Raw genomic sequence first — 23,791 nt, 5'->3', positions numbered from 1 at the left:
ACTGTATTTTCAAAATGCCAAACAGTGATTAATAATTTTTAAAGAATAAATGACTGAATAATAATCAAAGAACTAAGATATTTTTGCGAAGAGGGAGAGAGACAATTTCTCAATTAGTTTATAAAATCTACCAAGCGAAGTAACTTGAGGACAAAGCAATGATTGAACCTCCCACACATAAGATAACTGATCTAATAATTTTTATTTATAACCCACCTTGTTTAGAGAAGGACCGAAGATGGCTTACAATGATAAAAATAGAGCCAGGCATGGTGGCTCACGCCTGTAATCTCAGCACTTCTGGAGGCCAACGCAGGCGAATCACTTGAGGCCATGAGTTTCAGACCACCCTGGCCAACATGGTGAAACCCTGCCTCTACTAAAAACACGAAAATTAGCTAGGCGTGGTGGTGCATGCCTGTAATCCCAGCTACTCAGGAGGCTGAGGCGGGAGAATGGCTTGAACCCAGGAGGCGGAGGCTGCAGTGAGCTGAGATCGCGCCACTGCTCTCCACGCTCCAGCCTGGGCGATACAGCGGGGCTCAGTCGAAAACAAAAACAAAAACAAAAAAGAGAGAGATAAAAAAAAAGAGAGAAGTATGTGAGAATTTGGAGAGGGAAAAGGGAAAAAGAACAAAAGAAACACACACACACAGAGAATGAAGCCAGAAAAGAGCCACATAAATAAAATTCCTCCTATAAATGCTATAGGAATCCAGAGAAAAAGTTCCCGTGGTTTGGAAAATGTCAATAAAACTTTCCTGGTGGAAATGAGGTCGGCTATGAGGTATTAAGTTCAAAAGGAACTGGATATTTGGTGTCTCTAGTAAGACAGAGCTGCTTCAGAGTCTCCCCAGGGAAAGACGGTGCTTTGGGCAGGTAGTTAGTGTGGGTGAAGGTGATGACTGAAGAATCCTAAGGGCCCAGGCTTGTGGGAAGCCTCTCTCTTTCCGCACTTCACCAATTATCTCATTTTCATAAGGTCTGCGCTTTCCTTAATTGCTTCACTTCCATCAACAGGAACAGGGGAAAGATAAATACATTTCACCTTTTAATGAAGAGAATTTCAGGTAGTCTGTGGGAGATGTTTATAAAAAAAAAAAAAAAAGCTGGTAGGGGGCAGTGTCTCACGCCTGTAATCCCAGCACTTTGGGAGGCCGAGGCAGGTGGATCACTTGAGGTCAGGAGTTTGAGACCAGCCTGGGCAACAAGGCGAAACTCCGTCTATACCAAAAATACAAAAAAAATTACCTTGGCTGATGGTGCGCGCCTGTAATCCCAGCTACCTGGGAGGCTGACGTGGGAGGATAGCTTGGACCCAGAGGCGGAGGCGCAATGAGCTGAGATTGCCTCACTACACTCCAGCCTGGGTGACAAAGTGAGACCCTGTCTAAAAAAAAAAAAAAAAAGTAGTTGGTCTGTGAACTCACTTGCAAATAACTGGATTTTACGGACGCTTAGATATTTGGAGGTCCACAAGGGTTCTTTGGGATCCCCTATTTTCCTTCGCTGCCTCCTTTGTCAGAGTCCAACTCAAAGGGGAAATGCCCCTCTGGGATCTAACCGCCACAGGTGCAAGAAGGAGCAAATTTACATAGAAGCAGCCTGGGGAAAATAGTGCCCTAGATGAGTCTTCAGTTTGGGAAACGCTGAGCTAACACTTTAAGTACTTGGAAGAGTAATACTAATAATCAGTCGTGGCGAGGTTCCGCCCATTTGACATTCAACCCCCCATGAGTGCGCACAGACAAACCCACTGGCCAGGAGGAGCCAACACAAGGTCCTGGGCATCTCCGTCCCGGGAAGGTGGGTAATGCCCCTGTCGCTCTGGGCTCCAGGGCGCGCCCCCGCAGCTTCCCCAGCGGGGTCTGACGCCTCCGGGCCGAGGTGCGCCAGGTGGCGAGGGTGCCAGGCGCGGCCAAGTCGCGGCGGTCTGAGTCAGTCACCCAACTATGCTGCGGAACCAGGGAGGCCGGCTGGGCCGCCCCCGCCGTTGAGCTCCGGCTTCCCCCGCGCGGGGCGCCTGCTCCCCGCCCCCGCGGGCGGAGAGGAAGCGGCGGCCGAGGCGAGGCGCGGGAGCACCTGAGCAAGGCGCGGGCGCCGGGCTCGGCGTTTCCGGAGCTGAGCGCGGGTCCGCGGCCCGCGCTCCCCGCCTCCAGGTGCGGCGGCCGCGACACGCCGGCCCCACTAACAGCGCCGCCCGCGCGGCCGCCGCCAGGCAGCAGAGGCGACTGCGGACAGCCGGCGGGGACCGGGAAAGAGGAGGCCTGGCGCCTCCGGCAGAGGGGCGAGGACCGAGCGCCCAAGGCTGGGAGAGACGCCGGCGCTGAGCTTCCCAGCGCCGCCTCACCTCGCTTTTCGAACTCCGCGACCCGAGCGCAAGGCGAGTACCCGGGGCCTCGGGAAGGCTGGGCCGGGATGGCCCACGCGGGGGTGGGAGGACCCTGTCTGGAGGGGCTGGGGCTTTTCGACACTTCACCGGGTAAATTTCCTCAGCGCAAAGTGCTCGGCTCTGGTGTCCGCCCCTTGGATTTCGCTCCCGCGTGTGGGCGTCTGAAAGGAAACCAGAAGCCGGTAAGTGATCCAAGAACTCCACTTCTGGGATTTGACCCGGGAGGGTGAGGATCCGGATAGACAGCTGGACACTCCCTCCATTCCTCTCCCCTACCTTTAAATAAGAAGAAGCTGTAGTGAGTTTCAGGCACCAAGTTATTTACTCGGTAGAGATCATGAATTTGCCCGGGTGTCTGTGCTGCCCCGCACCCTGCTTGTTAACCACGTTAAGACGACTGGCCTGTTAATTAACTTTAATTACGATCATTTGGCTTCCACCTGCCTGAACCCGATACCTTACACGGGAACCTGTATGATGTGAGTTTACCAGATTGATCTTTCTTGTTTACTTTTGGAGACAGTTCTCTTGGGAGAAGTGGTGTCCATCCTATTTAATAAAGTAAGTTTTACTTTATCTAATTCTGGCTTGTTTTCTTAAACACCTCCTACCTTGAGGTGATCTGGAGTTATTTTGATTTGGGGAAAGGGTTCGTGGATTATATAGCCTTTGATAATTAGAGGAAAACACAAGAAAATAAGCTAATTTGTGTGGAATAATGACATCTTAGGGTGTTGTAAGTAGGTATCCTGATAGCAAATTCTTTTTTTTTTTTTTTTTTTTTTTGCAAGCTTGTCCTTGAAGTAGGCTGTTCAGTAGAATACAGCCTTCGGTTTAAAAAAAATCAAGAAGTGTATTGAAAATAAGCTATTTTTAAAAGTACATTTAATAGGATGTCATTGTTATTACTCATAATAGTATTGTACTTACAAGCTCAGTATTGATTTATCTGCACTTAAGCACTCTACACCCCCACAGGCCCATGGAACTTTGCCCGTAAGTAATTGGAAGATAAAAAGCAAGCTAACTTTTTTTAAGGAAAAAAAGAGAAATACCTTTAAACTCTTTTTTTTTTAACTCTTATTTATGACTTCCATACACTTACAGGAGAAATATTGAGAGAAAATACTCATGACATTTTTTGTCCAACAACGTTTAAAGAAGAAAAAAAAGTGGGTCATGGAACTAGGCTAGGGTTAAGTGCAAATATCTTCCTGGCTTCTTTCTAAACATATTTAACACATACACATTTAAGGTGGTTCCTAACACGAAGAGGGTTTTATATAGATTTGTCAGTACTCAAAGATTTATTTGAATTAAAATGTACCTAGAGGGTAAGTGAGAGAGCTTGTTAAAACGTATTTATATGGGTGTGTGCTTGTGTTTGTATTTTTTCCTTCGTCTGTAAACCTGTCAGATTTTATGTGGCTTGTCTGTAAAAGGAGAAGCTGATGGTACGTTTAAAAACAAATTCTTGTTTTTCTAATATCACTGCAAGCTCCTTGCAGTGTAAGGCTCATGGATATGCAATAATATCAGATCCAACTATTCTTGGATACTGTGGAGAAGTATAGAACTCAGATTATAATGAATTACAGTTTTCTTAAGAACTTTAACGCATTGAAACTATGAAGTTTTAAAGTCTACGTAGAATTCTGGGTTATAGACTTCATGATATATGAGAAGTTTTTTGTTGTTGTTGTTGTTTCGTTTTGTTACTTTCTAACCCACCTCCCTGCAACTGTGAGAAAGTTTGGTGAAAGTGACTATAAAAATGCTAAGTATAAATAATAGTCATTGCTTTAATAGTTTTCTTTTAGCATACATTTCCACCTGTCCTCATTTATTTATTGATACATTTCTTGGATACAATCTTTGCACATGCTACATTGTAAGAGTTTTGGGAATTCTTGGTGAAATATTAATTAGGTAGAGAACTTCTTAATAATCTGGGAAATATGTCTTAGCTTTGACCACATATGGTGGATGTGAGATTAGAGGCTATGAGACGCTGTCTTAATCTTTTCTGCAAAGTTCTGGACCTTGTAATTTATCATTTTAGTTATTACTTGTAAGTATTGGCCAGATTAAATATATAATGGTAGTTAAACCATTTTGCTCACTTGTTTCTTCTTTAAATGAAGCAGTACTTAATGGTATTCTCCTCACGTGATCTTTTCTAGTTAGAAAGTTGTCCTGTGAAATTTTGTTTCAGTTTCTGTTCAGCACAAGCTTACTTATTTACCCATGCTGCAGAGAAAACAAAGGAGGCCTGATTTGGGTTGAAGCAGTGGTTTAGGTGGCAGATTTGAGATTTTTTAGAGTTCCTGAGAACTCATGAAGGATGATGGGGCCACTTCTCCATGTATTTAAAACAATACTAAAATATAAAACCATGTGGAAATTAGGGTCATAAAATTGGATTTTTCTCACCATTACAATTTAAGTGTTTTTTTTGGAATATATCAAATTCTTTGCAAAAAGTTGTTTTTTTGTGGTGTCTTTGGTATTGTTTATTGGCACTTACTGAGTAATAATGAACTGATTGTTCATATACGTGCCATTTACCTTTTCTTATAGTCATGTCTCATCTACCCTTTTAGATTGTAAACTCTTGGAGGGAAGACTGTATCTTCACTTTCTTTGTAGCCCTTAGCACTGTTGTCAAATGAGACAGTAGAGGCTGTTATCTTGAACACCAAATATCTCCCTCTCTTATCTTGGAGCGAGTAGTGTTGCTTAATATATATTGAATGAATACATGTTAAAAAATGGTCCAGTAAGGTAGGAGACGTTTTCTGAAATGCCCTCTTTTTATAAGAAAAAGAAACTTTGACAATTGCTAAACCAATAGGAATAAACCCTCAAACTCAGTTGGAAAAGAGGTCAGAGTACTATTTATAAATGCAAAGAGAGGAAACACAGTAGGCTATTCTGAAACATCTGGTTGTTTGTCTAAAAATATGACTTACATTCAGAGAAATGGTGGAGTATATACACTTATACAAAAGTTTTAAAATTCTGCTTTTGTAGAAACTCTAGAAGAATAAATTATTCTCTGATATCCCAAGAATTATGGCTTTACCTTAGGGATCTCTCTACATTAGAATTTTTAAAAATTCTCAAATCTTAGTGAATTAACTTAAAATCTGGATGGACAGCTTGAAAGGAAAAGACTTACAGAAGCTAAGGAGATTATCAAGCATTTAACTATTGCGATATTATCCAGAACACCTAAACCTAGGTACCTCCTATGCTACTAATATGTTCTTATACTAAGTAAAGGAATTTGTACTTGTGGCCTTCACTGGATGGAAATTGTTTTTAAGTTTTAGGTTTTTTTATTGTGTTTTTCAGATTGTGCTATAAGTAAAATAATCAAAACATAGCTTAGACAATCCTTACTCCTTGATCAAAGCTATGAAATGATTTTGCCCAGAGCCTACCTATTTTCAGCTAAAATTTCCATTATTCTCCATCCAGAAGACACTAATTAAATGCTTGTTGCTTACCAGGCACTGTTCTAAGATTTTAATGCATATGCGCTCATTTCATCCTCAAAATATCCCCGTGAGGTAGGCACTATTATTTTCCCTGCTTACAAATGACAACAGTGAGGCTCAGGAAAAGAGAGGAATTCTCCCAAGGCCACACAGGTAGCACATGGCAGAGCTGGAATCCCTGGTAAATCACTGTGCTTTGTGTCCCAGGTGTTAAGTCTTCAGGTGAAATTATCATCATTCTTACAACTCTAACTACATGTATACGTTACTACATTAATAAAACTATGTTAACTGCTGTGTTAGGTGCATTGTGGGTTTATTAGAAGAATGATTTACAGTGATAATTTAAAGGAATGTAATACTACTATGCAGACCGAAGAATTCCATTCAAACCAAGTGCAATATAGTGGTATGAATATGATTAAAGGCAATATTGTATACAATGGGTGAATTAATATTAGCCAACGTTTATGGTGCAGTTGTAACTCATGTCAGGTATTCTTATATATCTTAAATTTTTACTTGTTTAATTCTAATAGAAATACTATACGATATAGGGTATATTACCCTCATTTTATAAATGAGAAAAACAAGCTTCAGGGAAGTTAAATAACTTAAGTTACATAGTTAAAAAGTGGGGAAGCCTGGACTGGAATTCGGGCATTGTGCTATCTATACTACTGCCTGGGTGGAACTAATAAGGGATTGAGGAGGGATGGGATAGGCAGGGAAGCCTCACGAATGTGGTGTTACCATACTTGTAAGACTTGAATTGGCTCCCAAAGGAGAGAAAAAAAGTCCAGGTATGTACAGGGAGTTCCATTTGAATAAGAGCTGAGAGACTGGCCCAAATCTTCTAGTCTGTTTTCTGATCTCCTTTTTTACTGGGTAAAAATAACACATACTATAAAATTTACCGTCTTATCATTTTAAAGTGTATAGTTCAGTAACGCTAAGTATATTTACAATGCTGTGAAACAGATCTCCAGACCATTTCCAGTTGGTAGAACTGAAACTCTATGCTTGTTAAACAACTCCTTACCTCTCTTCTCCTCTCTGGTAATCATGGTTCTACTTTCTATGAATTTGACTACGGTAGATACCTTATGTAAGTGGAATCATGTATTTGTCTGTTTTATGACTGTTTTTTCACTTAGCATAATGACCTTCAAGGTTCATCTGTATTGTAGCATGTGACAGTATTTATTCCTTTTTAAGGCTGCTTAGTATTTCATTTTGTGTATATACCACACTTTATTTATCCATTCATCCATTCATCCATTCATAGATATCTGGGTTGCTTCCACTCCTTATCTACTTTTGCACCACATTTGAAGTTAAACCTTTAAGATCATAGTCAGGTATCTTTTTTGTGTTAATACTTTCTCTTCTTTTTTTTTTTGAGACAGCATCTTTCTCTGTCCCTGTAGTGGCGTGATATTGGCTCACTGCAACCTCCGCCCACTGGGTTCAAGCGATTCTCATGTCTCAACCTCCTAAGTAGCTGGGATTACAGGTGTGTGCCACCATGCCCTGCTAATTTTTGTGTTTTTAGTAGAGACGGGATTTCACCATGTTGGCCAGGCTGGTCTCAAACTCCTGACCTCAGGTGATCCACCCACCTTGGCCTCCCAAAGTGTATGGGGATTACAGGCGTGAGCCACCATGCCTGGCCTTAACACTTTATTTTCTCGTCAAGCACATTTGTTTTTGTTTTTGTTTTTGTTTTTTACCATAACCATTGACTTCATGTGGGCAGTGAATACTTATTTTGGTCATATTTGATTATTTGATTTTGGCTTCATATTGTTGCATTATATCAATTGTACTATAGTCCTGTGTTAGCTGTCTTTCTGCAGTGATAGATGCAAAATAAATTTTAATAGACTAAATTCTACATTACCATTGCTTTATATAGCAATTACAAAGATGTTCTCCCTTAATTTGTCATTGGCTCTCAACTCTCAGGCAATTAAATGTAAATGAATGTAGGCTTCCAGGTTTAGCCACGTACATGGACACATATCAAACTTAAATGGTGTATAAAACTTGAATTTGCAAGATATGGTATATTTAAACAGCATTTCCCTAGTGTGAATATAAGCCCTTATGAACAGCTAGACAAAGGAGAGGGAGACTATTAAGTCTTTGCTACCTCTTTACTATTAAATCAATTTTATATCTACTATGAGGCTTTACAGTTTATAGCACAGGTTGTGGAGTCTGACTCTTAGAAACACTTAAGTTAGTGTTTCCACTGTTTATCTATTGCGTGACATTCAGCGTCGGATTTTCCTCCTCTGCAGCTGTGAGGAGTAAATGAGGTCCTACAAAAATGGTTTGCAAACATCCACAACTACTGGTTATTATTATTATCAATGTCATTCTGAGGGAGAATGAAAGAAGATGGATGTGTTTTGGTGGGTGGGAAAGAAGTAGTGGTTGAGGTAGAGAACAGGGTACAGAGGAGGTCAGAGCCTGTGAGTGACCACAATTTAAAGAGATGACCACATTGAGGGAACTGGGCTTCCTGTAAGGGGTTTAATGGGGCGGATGTTGCCACACACTAAGGTAAGTGAATGGATGGCGGAGGAGAGAGATGCCAAACAACCAGTTTTATACTTTTTCTGGGGGCTAAGCACTCAGACTAGAAAAATAAGTTAGCAGGCCTGACCTTCATCCTTTTGCAGTCTGCTCTATACTGTGGGATGGAAGAATATAATCATAAGCATATTTTCTCTAAAACACTTCCTCTTTTACATGGTTCTTGGAAAGAGTTAAGTTGAACATGTCTTTATCTATACTTGGAGTGAATATCTTGATATTAGTTTGCTTGATGTGCAAATAACACGGTACCTATTTCTGTGTTTTGTACCAAAGCAAAGATGGTGTATTAGTCCACTTGTATTGCTGTAAAGGAATACCTGAAACTGGGTAATTTATAAAGAAAATTGATTTATTTGGCTCACAGTTCTGCAGGCTGTACAAGCATGGAGCTGGCATCCACTCAGCTTCTGGTGAGGCCTCAGGAAGTTTACAATCATTGTGGAAGGCAAAGGGGAAGCTAGCATATCAGATGCCAGGAAGGAGCAAGAGATGGAGGAGGTGCCAGGCTCTCTTGAACAAGCAGATCTTGCATGAACTCATAGAGAACTCACTCATTACCACAAGGACCACACAAACCATTCATCAGGGATCCTCCCCCATGACTTCCCACTGCGAGGTCCCCTCCTGCTAGACCCACCTCCAACATCAGAGGTCACATTTCCACATGAAATTTGGAGGGGACAAAACATCCAAACCATATCAGGTGGACTTCTAGAAGACCTGTACCCTCAGCTAATTAGTTCAGCATGTTGTCCATATGGAGACGTCCAGTTTTCCAAGGAATTAGTGATTTTTCCACAATAAGTTTATTAGCAAATAATAATTTGTTATTTGATTTTGGCTTCATATTGTTGCCTTATATCAGCTGTACTGTAGTCCTGCATGAGCTGTCTTTCTACAATGATACATGCAACAATAAGTTTTGATAAACTAAATTCTATATTACCACTGCTTTATATGGCAATTACAAAGATGTTCTCCCTTAATTTGTCATTGCCTCTTAACTCTTGGGCAGTTAAATGTAAAGGTATGTAGACTTATAGGTTTAGCCATGTACATGGACGCACATCAAACTGAAGTGGTGTATTGCAGGGACACTTGAAGGCAGGGACACTTTTCTCTTTTATCATCCGTAGTGTTGGGTACCATATTGAGAACTGATCAATTATAGAGAATTGAAGGAGTAAAAATCACACTTGAATTTTTTATCTGGGTACTATTGCAGAATGTCATAGTCACTTTTTCTGTCTACTGGTGTCACTTAGTCATTTGTTGGTCATTAAGACCAGCAAAAGCATTTTGTCATATATCTCTGAATCCAATCAAGGGATATAGTTCCAATCCATTGGGAACCACTGTTCTGGAATATGGCCAGCTCTTATTGTTATGGAAATTTGTAAGACTTGTATTGATAATGTTGAAAAGTTTCATGATTCATTTAGCAGCCTAATTTGTAAATCTATATTTTTAAGCTTTTTTTCTTAGTTGTGTGATCCTCTGACTGCTATTAAGCCCATTTTCTCACAAAGTTTCTAACTTTGCTAAGGATGTGTTTCTGATTTTTCAGTGGTATGCTCTCTTTTTGTTTTAATGGATTGATCATATGACTGATTCGATTGTATTATGCTGTTTTCCATCCTGTAACATATAGTTAGGCAAAGGTGATTCTAGAATTTGTCTCAATGACATCATGGTTTAATGAAGTAACCCATGGTTTTCAGTTGTTTGCTTTCCTTGTTCAACTAGGGGATTTATGACAAAGCTCCACTGGTAATGGGTAATGGGGAGGGAGTTTGGGAGGGGCTTACTATAGTGGCTTTCCTTATTCGAGACATTAGGGGGAAGCTTGTCCAACCCATTAATTTTTTTTTTTTTTTTTTTGAGACAGGGTCTGGCTCTGTTGCCCAGACTGGAGTTCAGTGATGCAATCTCAGCTCACTGAAACCTCCTCCTCCTGAGCTCAACCCATCCTCCCACCTCAGCCTTCTGAGTAGCTGGGACTACAGGTGTGCACCACCACACCCGGCTGATGTTTGTATATTTTGGTTAGAGACAGGGTTTCACCATGTCACCCAGGCTGTTCTGGAAATTGTGGGCTCAAGCAATCCACCCACCTCTGCCTCCCAAAGCGCTGCAATTACAGGCATGAGCCACCTCACCCGGCCTGGCCCAACCCATGAGTTTTTAAAAGTCCCACAGATGGTTTAGAATGTTTCTAATTTATACCTACTGCCCCACCCCTCACACTCACTCCTGATTTGAGGACCTCTGTTAATGGTTAGATGAATTGGAGAAATCTGTGCTTGAAATCAATCCGCTCCATACTAGCTTGGTTACTTAGACAACATTTTAAAACAATGTGCACCTTCCACTTCTCATCACAAAGCAAGGGAGAAATTATTCAGCAAACATTTATTGAGCTGAGCAGTGAACAGTAGACAAGATCCCTGACCTCTCAGAGCAGTCAACAGATACCAGCAGTAGTAGAAGCCGTGGAGACAGATAAAGCAAGGATAAGGGATGGTGAGTCACAAGGCATGCTTGTATAGCATAGATTAGGGAGGGATCACCTATCTGAAGAGGGCGCATTTGAGCAGAGACATACCAAAGTGATGGAGTGGCTGTGGAGACATACGTATATGCTGGAGAAGAAGGTTGTAAAGAGACAAGATCAAGAGGTAAGGTCTGAGGAAGGAACAGAAAGGAGGCTGGCCCTGAGGCTGTCAAGTGATGGAAGGGGAAAGTCAGGGAAGATTAAGTTTGGAAGTCATAGGGAGTGATATGGTGTGACTTTTCTTATGACATTAATTGTTCTGGCCCCTGTAGTGAGAGAATCTACTGTGTGGGGGAGAGGGGTTCAGGACAGAATCAGGAATATCAGTCTAAGAGGCTATTGCAGTGGTCTAAGAGAGATATGATGGTGGCTTAGGCTAGGATGTGAGCAGGGTAGATAGGTAGTGTTACTGAATTGAGGATGTAGTTTAAAGGTATAGCACAGTAAAGTAAAAAGGTGCTGTTTATTGAGTGATATGGTAAGCTGGGCATGTAGCAGGTACTCCTAAATGTTACTTCCCTTTTGTTGCCTCATGGAATTGGGTCAGGATAGCATGGGCAAATGCACAGCCATGTCTGTAATGCCAACTATTTATACATTCTCTAAACATGTACTGCATATACATGATGCACCATGCTTATAAGCAAGTAATCTGGTATTTATTGTGTAGCTTATATGGGTTTGTCCTGTTGGCAGAGTTTATTATAATAAAATAATAGTGATAATGGCAACACTTACTTAGAATTTTTAATGTCCAGTTGTTGTTATAAGTGCTGTGCCTGTATTAACTCATTTAATTATCACAGTAGCCCTATGAGGTAGGTACTAATATTACTCCCATGATTTTTGACTAAGAAACTAAAGCACAGAAAAGTTAAATACACAAGATAATAAAGCTAGTAAGTGGAGGAATTGGAATTCAACACAAGTTGTCTGTATTCAGAGTCTTGGCATTTATATTACACTATCTATGGAACAGCAGAATATAGTTAAACACTTGCTATGGTCTGAATGTGTGTGTCCCCCACCCCCCGCTCCCGATTTGTATGTTGAAACCTGACTGCCAAAGGGAATTGTATTAAGAGGTGGGGTTTGGGGGAGGTTATTAGGTCATGAGGGCAGAGCTCTGGTGAATGGAATTAGTCTTCTCATAAGAGAGGCCTGAAGGAGCTTGTTTGTTTTCCCCTTGCCCTTCTGCCATGTGAGGACACATAGAAGGCATTATCTATGATGTCTGCAGGCGCCTTGACCTTGGACTTCCCATCCTCCAGAACTCTGAGCAATGCACTTCTGTTGTTTATTAATTACCCAATCTAAGGTACAGATGCTTCCCAACTTATTATGGTTTGACTTGGGATTTTTCGACTTTATGATGGAGTGAATGTGATGCATTTGAGAGAAACCGCAATTCTCTAGTGATGCTGGGCAGTGGCAGCAAGCCCTGGCTCCCAGTCAGCCATGCGTTTTCAGTCTATAATATTTGCAGCATACAATGGGTTTATTGGGATGTAACTTCATTGTAAGTCCAAGAGCATTCGTATTTTGTTAAATCAGTCTGAACGGACTAGGACAACACTCTAAGAAGTAAATAGTGTAGGAATACGGAGAAGAGGATGCATTTCTTGTTCACTAGAACTCTTGTGAAGGAAAGTGTTTTAGACCTCAAAGAACAGAAAATTTAACTGTGGGGACAGAATGACTATAGTGGTGAAAATAATTATAGTGACAGAAGTGAATGTTTACTAAGCATCAGTACGTGCTAGGCACTATGTGCGAGTCACTTATGATGGATTATCTCATTTAATCCTCACCAATGCTAGGTACCCTGGATTATTTCCATTTTATGGGAAAGGAAGTAGAGACATTGACATGGGCACGGGCCTATGTTTACACTGCTAGAAAGTGGAGGAGGTGGGATTTTAATTTAGTCTTACTGCAAACTTGTGTGCAGTATGTTAGATGGGGGATTTTATCCAAGAGGAGGACAGTGATGAGCTTAGGCTCAGGTGGGCTGGTATAAAGCATGTTTGGGAAGCCTCAAGAACTTAGGACTGTAATTACCACATTTTGTCACACATCCTAGTTATAATTGGAGGGTGTAACAAGTGTAGACTCGTAGGACCCACAGCAGTTGTTGATGTACAGAAGATCCACAGATCAGTACCTGGAGGGTCACTGATCTAGACTGTGGCATACATGCCATAGACTGCAATTGGAGGTCAAAACATGGAGAGCTTCAATTTCGTATTAAGGAGCTTTCACATACTGGAATTTTATAATTAGGCATGCTCATCTCTGTGTATCTAATGATGTGCTTGGGGCTAGAGCATCTAAGAATTGGATCTGTGAACACTCTTGGGTGTTCAGACAGTTAAAATGTCAGACAATTGGAGGACAGAGTTGACATTAATGTGCAGAGAGGATTTTAGGGCTGTGGGAGGGAGCCTTTTCCATGGCATGAAAAGGAATCAGATTCATTAACCATATTCAGCATGTTGAGTGATAGAGATGGTTTTGGGTAGAGCTTCTGGTATATCTTTCTTTGATTTGACCACCTAGGAAGTATGTATGTGTCTGCCAAAGAAAGGAAAGGGCTGTTTATTAAAACAAAAATACACACATGCATAGCAAAAAACTAATACAATAGGCTTCTCAATCTCTTCTGCCATTTTTATCAGCCTCTCTCACATCTCTTAAACATGTTCCAAGTGCTTTGCAAAGCTCTGGTATAGAAATTATAGATATATGTCAAGGAAGGAGTGATTTATTCTATTTTGAGGGGTTGATAAGATGCCTTCACAGAGGAGGTAATACCTGCCTGTTTATAATTTTGAATGGTGCTTAAGAAAGCAGATAGAGTGTATGCAAAAAGTTATGGAGCTGCTAAACAGTTTGTTGCCTCAGGGAAATAATTGACAAGAGTGGACTAAAGTGAATGAAGGATATTGGTAGAATGTTTGGCAAGGGTTGAATATGAGCTTGTAGTTGATACATAGGAATGCCTGTCTCATAGGAAATATGAGCATGGTGTCTGACACATAATTGCTGTTTACATCAATAGCACCTGCTATTATTATTGTTAGAGACAAAAATGTGATTTGGCACTATAAGCAATATCAGCATAGACTTTATCTGGTTGAGCATGTGGAGTTACATACCGAATTTGTGTGTTTGATAGTTCACTGACTGATACGTGGAGACTGGGCTGAGAGATTTGTTCAGAGACGATTGCAGTAATCCATGCAAAAGATGTCATGAGTTTCGGAACCATGGCAAAAGCAGTGAGGATGGAGAAGTGTATTAGTCAGCTCAGCTGCTGTGACAAAATACCACAGGCCATGTAGCTTAAACCACGTAAATTTATTTTCTCACAGCTCTAGAGGTTGAGAAGTCCAAGATCCATTTGCCAGCTGATAAGTTTCCTAGTGAGATTCCTCTTCCTAGCTTACAGATAGCCACCTTTTCCCTGTGTCCTTACATAGAGGGCTCTGGGCCTGGGGGAAAGAAAACTCTCTGGTGTCTCTTGCAAGAAACTAATCCTATCTTATCAAGGTCCTTTCCTGATGACCTCATTTAACCTTAATTATCTCCTTGGAGGCCCTGTCTCCAAGTACAGTCATGGTAAAGGTTAGGGCTTCAAGATAGGAATTTTGGGAGGACATAATTCTATCAGTAGCAAGGAGTAAAATCGGTAGGTCACCTCATTCCTTGAGTGTGGTGGATAATACAAAGGTGGACTTGGGAATACAGTCTAGGCTTTAGATTTGGGGTAGGGACAGATCAGGAGGTTTCTTGGTGTGCGTGTGTGTATGTATTTTATTAAAATTGTTTTTCTCCTATTAAGGTTTTTATGAACAGGGGTAAGCAAGACTATGACTTTTTATACTTTATTCTACTTCAGAAGGAAAATGCTTCTAATCCTCTCAAGTTATTGGCCAATTTATCATGTTTGTAAATTCTAAAGTGGCTGAATACATTATGTCCACTTATTGTTCCATTGGTAGTAATTATTTCCATCCTGTGATAATGCTAGTAAAAATAGACAATACACTTGTTGCAAAATAATTGTGTAGAAAAAGAGTGGCTTATCTGAGAATTGAGTTTGTATGTAGTGTTGTGTAACTTTTCTTTTTTTAAAATTTTTTATTTATTTATTTATTTATTTATTTTTGAGATGAAGTCTCGCTCTGTCTCCAGGCTGGAGTGCAGTGGCACCATCTCGGCTTACTGCAACCTCCGCCTCCCAAGTTCAAGCTATTCTCCTGCCTCAGCCTCCCGAGTAGCTGGGATTACAGGCACGCACCCTCACACCCAGCTAATTTTTGTATTTTAATAGAGATGGGGTTTCACCATGTTGGCCAGGATGGTCTCCATCTCCTGACCTCAAATAATCTGCCAGCCTTGGCCTCCCAAAGTGCTGGGATTACAGGCGTGAGCCACTTTGCCTGGCCGAGGTGTAACTTCTTTGTGTGTGACATTTTAGCATTTTAGGTGTTACTCTGGGATGCCTTATTGACAAAGGCATTTCTTGCCTTTCATCATTTATTTTGTATTTTTATTTCTCTGCTCCTGCAGTGTGTCCTGAAGAAGATATACTCTTTCCCTTTTATCCTATACCTGTTTGTTACTGCTTGCTGATATTTTAAAATAGTTGAAGCCGTAGCTTATGGGCAGTTGGCGTGTGGCATATGCAGAGTCCAAGTAGTGCCTTTTGTAGAGGGGTTTTTCAGTCCTGCATCAAAGCTTACTCAGGGAAATTTTCCTTGTTTGGGTGTGTCTCATTTTATTACTTCAGTGTATGTGTGTCATGCCTGCTCTGTACTTTTTTATTGACGCACAATGTACAGAAAGTTGCACATATGCATTTTCATAAACTGAACACACCTGTATAATTAGCATCTGGAAAAATGGACTTTTAAAAAATTTTATTTTGTTTTGGAGAAAAATAAACCTTTATGAATCTGCTATGTACATTGGAGGACATGTGACCTTTCATATTAGCATATTTTCTGTTATCTAATGTATTTAAGAATTAGCTGATTATTCAGTGTCATATCTTGTATATCACTATTGTTTACATACAATGCTGCCTGTTTTTATGAAATGAAAATTATTGAACTGAGAAATATGTTCTGACTGCTTTTTAAGTATTTGAAAGAAAATGCAGTGAAAGGGAAAGTTGTTATATTCAACTACTGTTAAGAAAATTGCATAAAACTTGAAAGTCAAAAGAACATTCTTTCAGTGCCTTTGTGGGAATATTGTTTAACAGGACCACCTTAGAGATATTTTAATCCCAATTTTAATTCCTGTGCTTGACTTGGCTATTTATTATTTGAGTAGCACATAGACACTGAGAAGTTACCTGTATGCTTATAGATTTTTGTCCAGTAGAAAAGATAACCCCAAATGTTATGGCTTATTATCCTGTAGGACATTAAACAGTTTTTTATCTAAGCTAGCTATCCTATTCTAATACTTTAAAAAAACCCTTTCTGATGAACTATATACATCTTTCCCACAAATGCTCTTGAATCCAATCTTACTGACTTACTGGTTCCCTCATTTTTAATGAATAAGTTGAATAAAGTTTTTGATATATGTTCATTCAGTACATGTGTCAGTGTCACTTTTTTCACCTTTTTGAAAGTCATAGTTTGATGCTGTCATAGCATTTCTGTCCTGTACCTTCACATACTGAGAAACTGGTTTTCTAGGGCATGCAAAGCAATGCACAAAGATTCCAACTGCAGAGTGAGAGTTAGTGTCCTAATTTCTGCTGTTTTTTTCAGAGAAAGTATATAAAAGTAGATTTTAATAATTAAAATAGCCTAATGAATCATTTTTTATTTTTTTCTAGGCTTAAGCAGGTAAAGCAGTCACTGTGAAGAAAATAACATTTTAAGAAACTTTTCTGTCACAATTGATAGAGGAAAAGCCAGTAGAGAAGTACATCTTCTTGTGTGTGTGTCTCATCGTGCCACTTTTTGTAACTCAGCTTAGTAATGAAGCCACCATTATGTCCTCAGTCAGTGAAGTAAATGTGGATATAAAAGATTTCCTAATGAGCATTAATTTGGAGCAGTATCTCTTACATTTCCATGAGTCTGGTTTTACTACTGTGAAGGACTGTGCAGCAATAAATGACAGCCTGCTGCAGAAAATTGGAATATCACCTACAGGTCACCGTAGGAGGATACTTAAACAGTTACAGATAATCTTGTCAAAAATGCAAGATATTCCAATATATGCAAATGTTCATAAAACTAAGAAGAATGATGACCCTTCAAAGGATTACCATGTTCCATCTTCTGATCAGAATATCTGCATAGAACTTTCCAATTCTGGTAGTGTTCAGACATCTAGCCCACCGCAGTTGGAGACTGTTAGAAAAAATCTTGAAGACAGTGATGCAAGTGTGGAAAGAAGCCAGTATCCTCAATCAGATGATAAGCTGTCTCCTCCTAAACGCGACTTCCCCACTGCAGAGGAACCACACCTGAATTTGGGTTCTTTGAATGATTCTTTATTTGGTAGTGACAATATTAAAATAGAATCATTGATTACAAAGAAGACTGTGGATCACACAGTTGAAGAACAACAAACAGAAAAAGTTAAATTGATCACAGAAAATCTCAGTAAGCTCCCTAATGCAGACTCTGAATGCCTTTCTTTTGTTGGCTGTTCAACATCAGGAACAAATTCTGGAAATGGAACAAATGGTTTATTAGAAGGATCACCACCATCCCCATTCTTTAAGTTTCAAGGAGAAATGATTGTAAATGACTTGTATGTTCCATCATCACCAATCCTAGCACCTGTGAGAAGTCGTAGCAAGTTGGTTTCAAGACCATCTCGATCTTTTCTGCTAAGACATCGACCTGTACCAGAGATTCCAGGGTCAACAAAAGGAGTTTCTGGGAGGTAAGAATCTTTACAATAAGCTGTAAATATTCAATTTGAGGAAATTCAGTGATTTTTTTTAACAGTTATATTTTCAGTGTTCCTATCTAAATTTGACTGTATTCATTTACCTATTCAACCAACCTTTTCTTTTAAAAAAAAAGTCTTCATCCCATTGGACATTATTTCACAGTCTGTTTCCAGCTAATAATGCCTGGGACTCTTTAGCTTTTCCCTATTTAAGCGGGGGGACATCCCTTCCCTTAATTCTACCTGGATATTCCTTTCCATACCAAGTTTCCACACCTAGTATTGTAGTCTTTCCATTAGTGCAGTTCTCATATTTGAAATGTTGACTCTCTCTCCCCAATAGATGATTTGTTCTTTGACAGAGAACATGTTTTTAATGTTTGTATCTCTGCTGCGTGGTACAATGCTTGGCACCAAGTAATAATTCAGCACATGTCTATTGAACTTGGTCTTTAGTCACTGTGCTCGGTGGGAAGGATGCAAAGAGGAATACGGTGACTTGCAGTCTCGTATAGAAGTCACATGTAAAAAGATGGTGACAGACAGCTCAGTATGAAGCTAGGCTCACTAGAGATGAGACCTCTGGGACCCCAAAGAGGGGCTCTACCAGTGTAGGTTCTTATACGCAGGTAGTAAGTCATTGGTATCCTGAGGTCACAGGAGGATTACCTAAACAGTTTGGGAGGAGGTAATTTATAGCAAAAGAGGTCATCAGCTTTAGCTTTCAGAATTTATGAATCTCAAAGTTATACCTAAAATAGTTGTGGTTTTCTCCAGGGTTGGAGTAGGATATTGCTTTTCCCATTAAAACTTAACCCTTGTGTGTCTGCTGAGACACGAGGCTGTTCAAGTTTGACTGTTACTGTAGTGGCACTAAATGCTTTACACACGTCCTGCACAGGCTCCACGCTGGAGTTTCAGCAGGATTCCTCTTTCCCCCCATGCCTGCTTTTCCTGCTACTCCCTTTGAATCTGTGGCCGCTACTGATTCTCTTGGCCTTAGGTACCTTTGGTAATTGCAGTGCTAATAGTAGTTACAAGATAAAAGGTGGCAATTTAGTGTTTGTGAGAGAAAACATGACCGTTTACAAGGCTCTGTTAATGTAAGTATCTCCTATTAGAGCATAAACGTTTTGATGGCAGAGACTCTAATTAATTTGTCTTTATCTTGACATCCCTAGTGCCAGTAGCAAAGTCTGGTATTTACTAGGAAATCAATATAGTGTCATGTATTAACCACATTTATTAAACAACTAGTGTCATCTATTAAACACTAGTTTGGTTTATAATTTTGCAGGAGTTATCTAATATAAGGGCCACTCCTACTCCATGTGAACATGGAGTAGGTAATGTTCATCCCATTTTACTTTTGAGGTAACTGAGCCTTGGGTTAATTTCTCCAAGATCACATGGGTAGTGAACTAGGATTTCCTACCAGTACATCTGACTCTAGATCCCACTTCCTTAACCACTCATTGAGTAAATATTGTTGAAAATGTTGATTGGCTATATAAGAATTGGATTATTTGTTGGGACTGTAAAGGACACTCATTTTGTTTGACACTTTAGCTTTAAAATATTTTGCTAATTTTGAATAATTAAAAGAAGGTGAATGAGAAATGACAAGTCTTCAGATGGCAGATGCTTTTGACATGCCAGAAGGGTTTACTATGTGTACACATGTTAAAGCTGCATCTTTGCCAGGACTGAATCCCTTTGGGAGCTGTAAAGGATCATTTGATTTAAGTTTCAAACAGTCTGTGCTAATTTTCATGAATTTTACAGAGAATCTTGATACTCATTTAGTTGTATAGGGGCAGCAAAATTCCACCTCTTTCTTCTTAGGGTCCCAGCTGGGCCTGAGAATTAAATGGATATAAAACAGATTAACAGGAGAAAAGCATACAAATTTATTTCATACAAGTAATATGAGTTTTATGTGCCACAAGAATCCTCATAAAGAGATAAAGATCCAAATAAGTAGTTAGAGTGAAACGCTTAAATAATGAATTGCAAAAAGAGCAGTAAGTTGTGAAAAACCAACTAAATTATGTGGGGGGGGGCTTAAAAGATACGTTTTTTTAACAAGGTCTGTACAGAATTCTTTGGTCTCAACTTCTTGTCCTTGAGGACAGGATGTTAATTTCTTTCAGGGGAATTTCATCTTCTGCTTTTAAGGAGGCTGGAAGATCAGAGTCCTCTTTTTACACCTGTTATTTTCCAATATTTGAATTAAATGCCTTTATTCAAAATAGTAAGTATGCTGGAGTGGTATATTTTCAACTCCTTCTGTTGTAAGCTTTGTATCATATGAAAAGCTCGTTATTCAATTTGTGACTGAGTCTTTGAGAGTGGAAACATTAAAATTAGTAGTAAATAATTTAGTACTAGCTATATCATAGCACTGTTTTTTTTTTCATGTGATTTTTAGGCCAGATTACTTATCCTAACCTTTCTTTTCTTTGATTATGGTAGTTAATAGCAGCATTGCTTTTGTGGTGCTCAGATCATAAAATGAGCAAATAAATTATTTTCAGACTTCACTGTTTGTTTTTCCTTGTGCTCCTTCCCTATGTTGCAAATAGTAATTCCATGATTTTAAAGTGTTATAATATAACTTTTTAAATCAAACTGTGGGTTATGTAACGTGAGTTTCTCTTTGGTCAATGATATTGATATTGATTGGTCATTGATATTGAACCTGCAAATGATATTTAGTGCATTCCTTGATATACCAAAAGAAAATATTTCTTTATGGCCTGTGTTTTTAAAGGAATTACTAAACATTTCATACAGCTGCTCAAAGGAATGTGGATATTGACTTTGCAGTCTTTTCCTGACATAGGGCTCTTTGTTTTTCTCTCCCTGGACACGTGCCCTCCTGCCTCCTTCCTCTCAACAGAATCTGATAGAACTGATGCTCTATTAAATTTTTTGTCTTTGTTGTGGACTTGGGTTCTTCCCTGAATTCCTGCCTGCTCCTTTTAACTGGAGGGCTGGCCTGGACAATAACCTCAGGTTATCTTTTGAACTATTTCTTGAAAGCTAGATCAGGACTAGGCTCCAAGCACCAGCTCCTTCCTTATCACCTTCACTTGGAGGCCTTGCTAGTCCCTGGGAGCCCTCCAAGCAGAAAGCAGATGCCACATTGCCCATGGGAGTTGTAGGTGTGCCATGTGATCTTATGCAGAATCTTCTTAGTGCCCCAGGCAGGAAGGAATCTCACAGCTACTGAAGGAAGTACATTTTTCCTCCTCGCTTTAGTGATTTTTGTACATCTTTCATGCAATTGTATTATCCTTGGGATAGGTCTCAAAGCCTTCTTTTTAAGGTGTAGTGCCTCTGAATGTTTTGGGGGTAAGGGCAAATGAAGAAGCAGAAGTAGTGGGAGAGGGATGGTGTGCAAAGCTGCACTGTTGTGGAAGTACAACTGTTAGAAAACTGAGGGGCTGTGTTGACTCCTTTGAGGGCTTTTCAAAAGTTTGAAATCTAAACCTGAAGTCTCCTGTGTTCTTTGAACTTTTTATTAAAAATAAAAATCTTGGATATTTTTCCTCTGTATTCACATAGACATTCAAAATGGTTGACATTATTTTATAGATTTTAATGTCAACAATACATATGAGCAAAAAGTACAGAAAAGTAATCAGCATTTGTTTGCTGCACTGAATAAGAAATATACAGAAGGATATCCTTCATTTTCATCTTCAAGAAAATTTTATGTTTCACGTTATAGTAGAAAAATACTTAGCAATCTTAACATTTTGATTTCTTTCTTTTAAAATGCTTTTTAAATTCTATGAAAAAAGGCTAATTATTTTAATATTTGCTAAATTTTGAATTGAATACATAAATAATTAAATCTAAATTTAAATAGAAGTTAGATTTATTGTTAGAAGGTGAGGGTATCTATCTGCTCAATAATCTAAGTTAAAAAGTCATTACATTTATATTTCATTTTTGTAAATCCATCTTGTTTGAAAAACGTATAAAATTGAAATTTTTGCTAGTAGATTAAAAAATTCATGATGTTGTAAACTTATGTGTTGCAGTAGTTCTGTAATGATAATTCATTCTTACCCTAAGGATGTTTTTTAAAACTTCACAGATTGAGGCTTAATTATCTGTGCATTGTCAGTTTCACATTATTGGTCTATGCTGTAATTACACTCTCATGCTTTCTGAATTCAGATTTGTCTGTTTTAGTTAGATATTATGAAAACCTCAAGGCAGTGTTAAACTGCTGCCTAATGATTGTGTTTTTTTTTTTTAATTTCACTCTAGAATGACCCATAGTCTGTAATCAATTGTGAGAACTGTTTTTATTTATTTATTCATTTATTTATTTATTTATTTTTAACATTTTGTGAAATGATGATCCACATATTTGTTGTTTCTTTTTTTATTTGGCTGCCTTGTCTAAGTAGTAAGTAAGTACAGTTCATAAGGGGATATCTTTGACATTAACCTTTATGCCACTGCTTTTCTGGGCAACTTTAGTGATTAAAAATATTAAAAAAAAAACCTCTAGGTATGCTGAACACTCACTTTTATAATCAGAGTTATTCATTACTTTCTCTTCTTTTATATTAAGGTTCTTTAAACAAACCATTTTAATTCTGATACCAATGATAGTTGTCTTTGTCTCTCTGGCTACCATGACGAAATACCGTAGACTGGGTAGTTTAACCAATAGAAATTTTTCTTATCGTTCTGGATACTAAAAGTCTGAAATCAAAGTGTTAGCATCCTTTGGTTTTGGTGACGGCTCTCTACTGGCTATCAGATGGTGGCCTTCTTGATGTCTGCTTATATGGGCTTTGTTCCTGGGCTGAGAGAGAGAGAGAGAGAGAGCCATCTCTGGTTTCTGTTTTTAGAAGGCTACCAGTTCTATTGGAACAGGGCCCCACCCTTATGACTGTATTTAACTTCAATTACTTACCTAATTTAAATACAGTCGCCACGTTGGGGGTTAGAGTTTGAACATATGAATTTTGTGGGGTAGGGACACAATTTTATTCACAACAATAGTTTTTCTTTACTTGCATAGAAATTTGTTAATTCTCTATTTAAGTAATAGAATTTAGGTATTTTCAAAGGCCTTACAAACATATTACATTCCACAGGCAACGACTGTTTATAGTAGGTCAGCCCATCACAATTGAACATCTGCAGATTTCCTCTATTTACTGATTTAGGGTTTTAAAAATAATAAAATCGACATAGGGAAAGTAGTAACAAGACATTTAGCAAGTTAATATGAATCAGAATCATTGATATTTTTGATTTGGGTTTTATTTTTAGATTTTATTATTATTTGGGGTTTTAAAACATTATTTCCATTTGAACATAAGTTTTAACTTACTAAAATAAAGCTTTATTTTAAAATTTCCCTTTTTTGAAACTCCGCAAATCAAGCTGTAAATATACATGCTTTATTTCCCAAGCTCATTTACATATGACAAGATTTCTGAGCCCCTCAACAATGACGTATATTACCTGGATATGTTTATGATGGTTGGGGTATTTTTTTCAACAAGGGTTAGCTTGTTGGTCCAAAGCACTGAGGGGAAGGGAAAAAGGAGTGCAATACAAGGATGAAGATGAGGTTATGACTTTCAGGGAATTTATGAGGAAGAAGGAGGTACCTTCTCCCTATTTGAAGTTAAGCTAGTAATTCTGGCTTCCTGGTCAGAAACTGTAGTATGAGTCATATTTAAAAAATGGTTTGAAAGCCACAACAAAAATATTAAGACAAAATTATTTATAAATTGGAAAATTTCAAACATACATAAGAGTATG

At 39.0% G+C, this 23,791-nt stretch overlaps 1 protein-coding gene and 1 long non-coding RNA gene across 17 annotated transcripts in view, besides 1 other annotated feature; one reads left to right on the top strand and one right to left on the bottom strand.

Moving 5' to 3' along the window:
• LOC439933 (uncharacterized) overlaps positions 1–2,446 on the bottom strand; it is a 30,100-nt gene extending 27,654 nt beyond the window's left edge. Inside the window, exons 1-2 of the long non-coding RNA NR_122079.1 lie at positions 2,351–2,446; positions 1,252–1,390 (exon numbers count right to left, since the gene is read on the bottom strand). This is a non-coding gene — a long non-coding RNA (uncharacterized LOC439933). The remainder of the gene's footprint in view (positions 1–1,251; positions 1,391–2,350) is intronic.
• Positions 1,673–2,252: a silencer, noted in NCBI's record as "silent region_15343". NCBI's record gives its function as "represses an Ori minimal core promoter by ATAC-STARR-seq in GM12878 lymphoblastoid cells {active_cell/tissue: GM12878}" and the evidence as "EXISTENCE:reporter gene assay evidence [ECO:0000049][PMID:35858748]".
• ARAP2 (ArfGAP with RhoGAP domain, ankyrin repeat and PH domain 2) overlaps positions 1,778–23,791 on the top strand; it is a 239,381-nt gene continuing 217,367 nt past the window's right edge. For 13 of the 16 annotated variants that reach the window (XR_007096351.1, XR_007096352.1, XR_007096353.1 and 10 more), the window contains exons 1-2: positions 1,778–1,806; positions 16,917–17,980. Coding sequence is in view for 7 of the 16 variants with exons in the window: in XM_047449575.1 (XP_047305531.1) it covers positions 17,076–17,980 (905 nt within the window). In the remaining 9 variants the exon portion in view is untranslated. Of the gene's footprint in view, positions 1,807–2,047; positions 2,384–2,622; positions 2,954–16,916; positions 17,981–23,791 lie in introns of those variants that run through there. The other 3 variants (NR_146894.2, NM_015230.4, NR_146893.2) reach the window with 2 other exon arrangements.

The sequence above is a fragment of the Homo sapiens genome, chromosome 4 (assembly GCF_000001405.40).
Source record: "Homo sapiens chromosome 4, GRCh38.p14 Primary Assembly".
Taxonomy (NCBI): Eukaryota; Metazoa; Chordata; class Mammalia; order Primates; family Hominidae; genus Homo; species Homo sapiens.
Note: the sequence above shows the minus strand (reverse complement) of the source record. Positions and strands in the feature narration are given on the sequence as shown.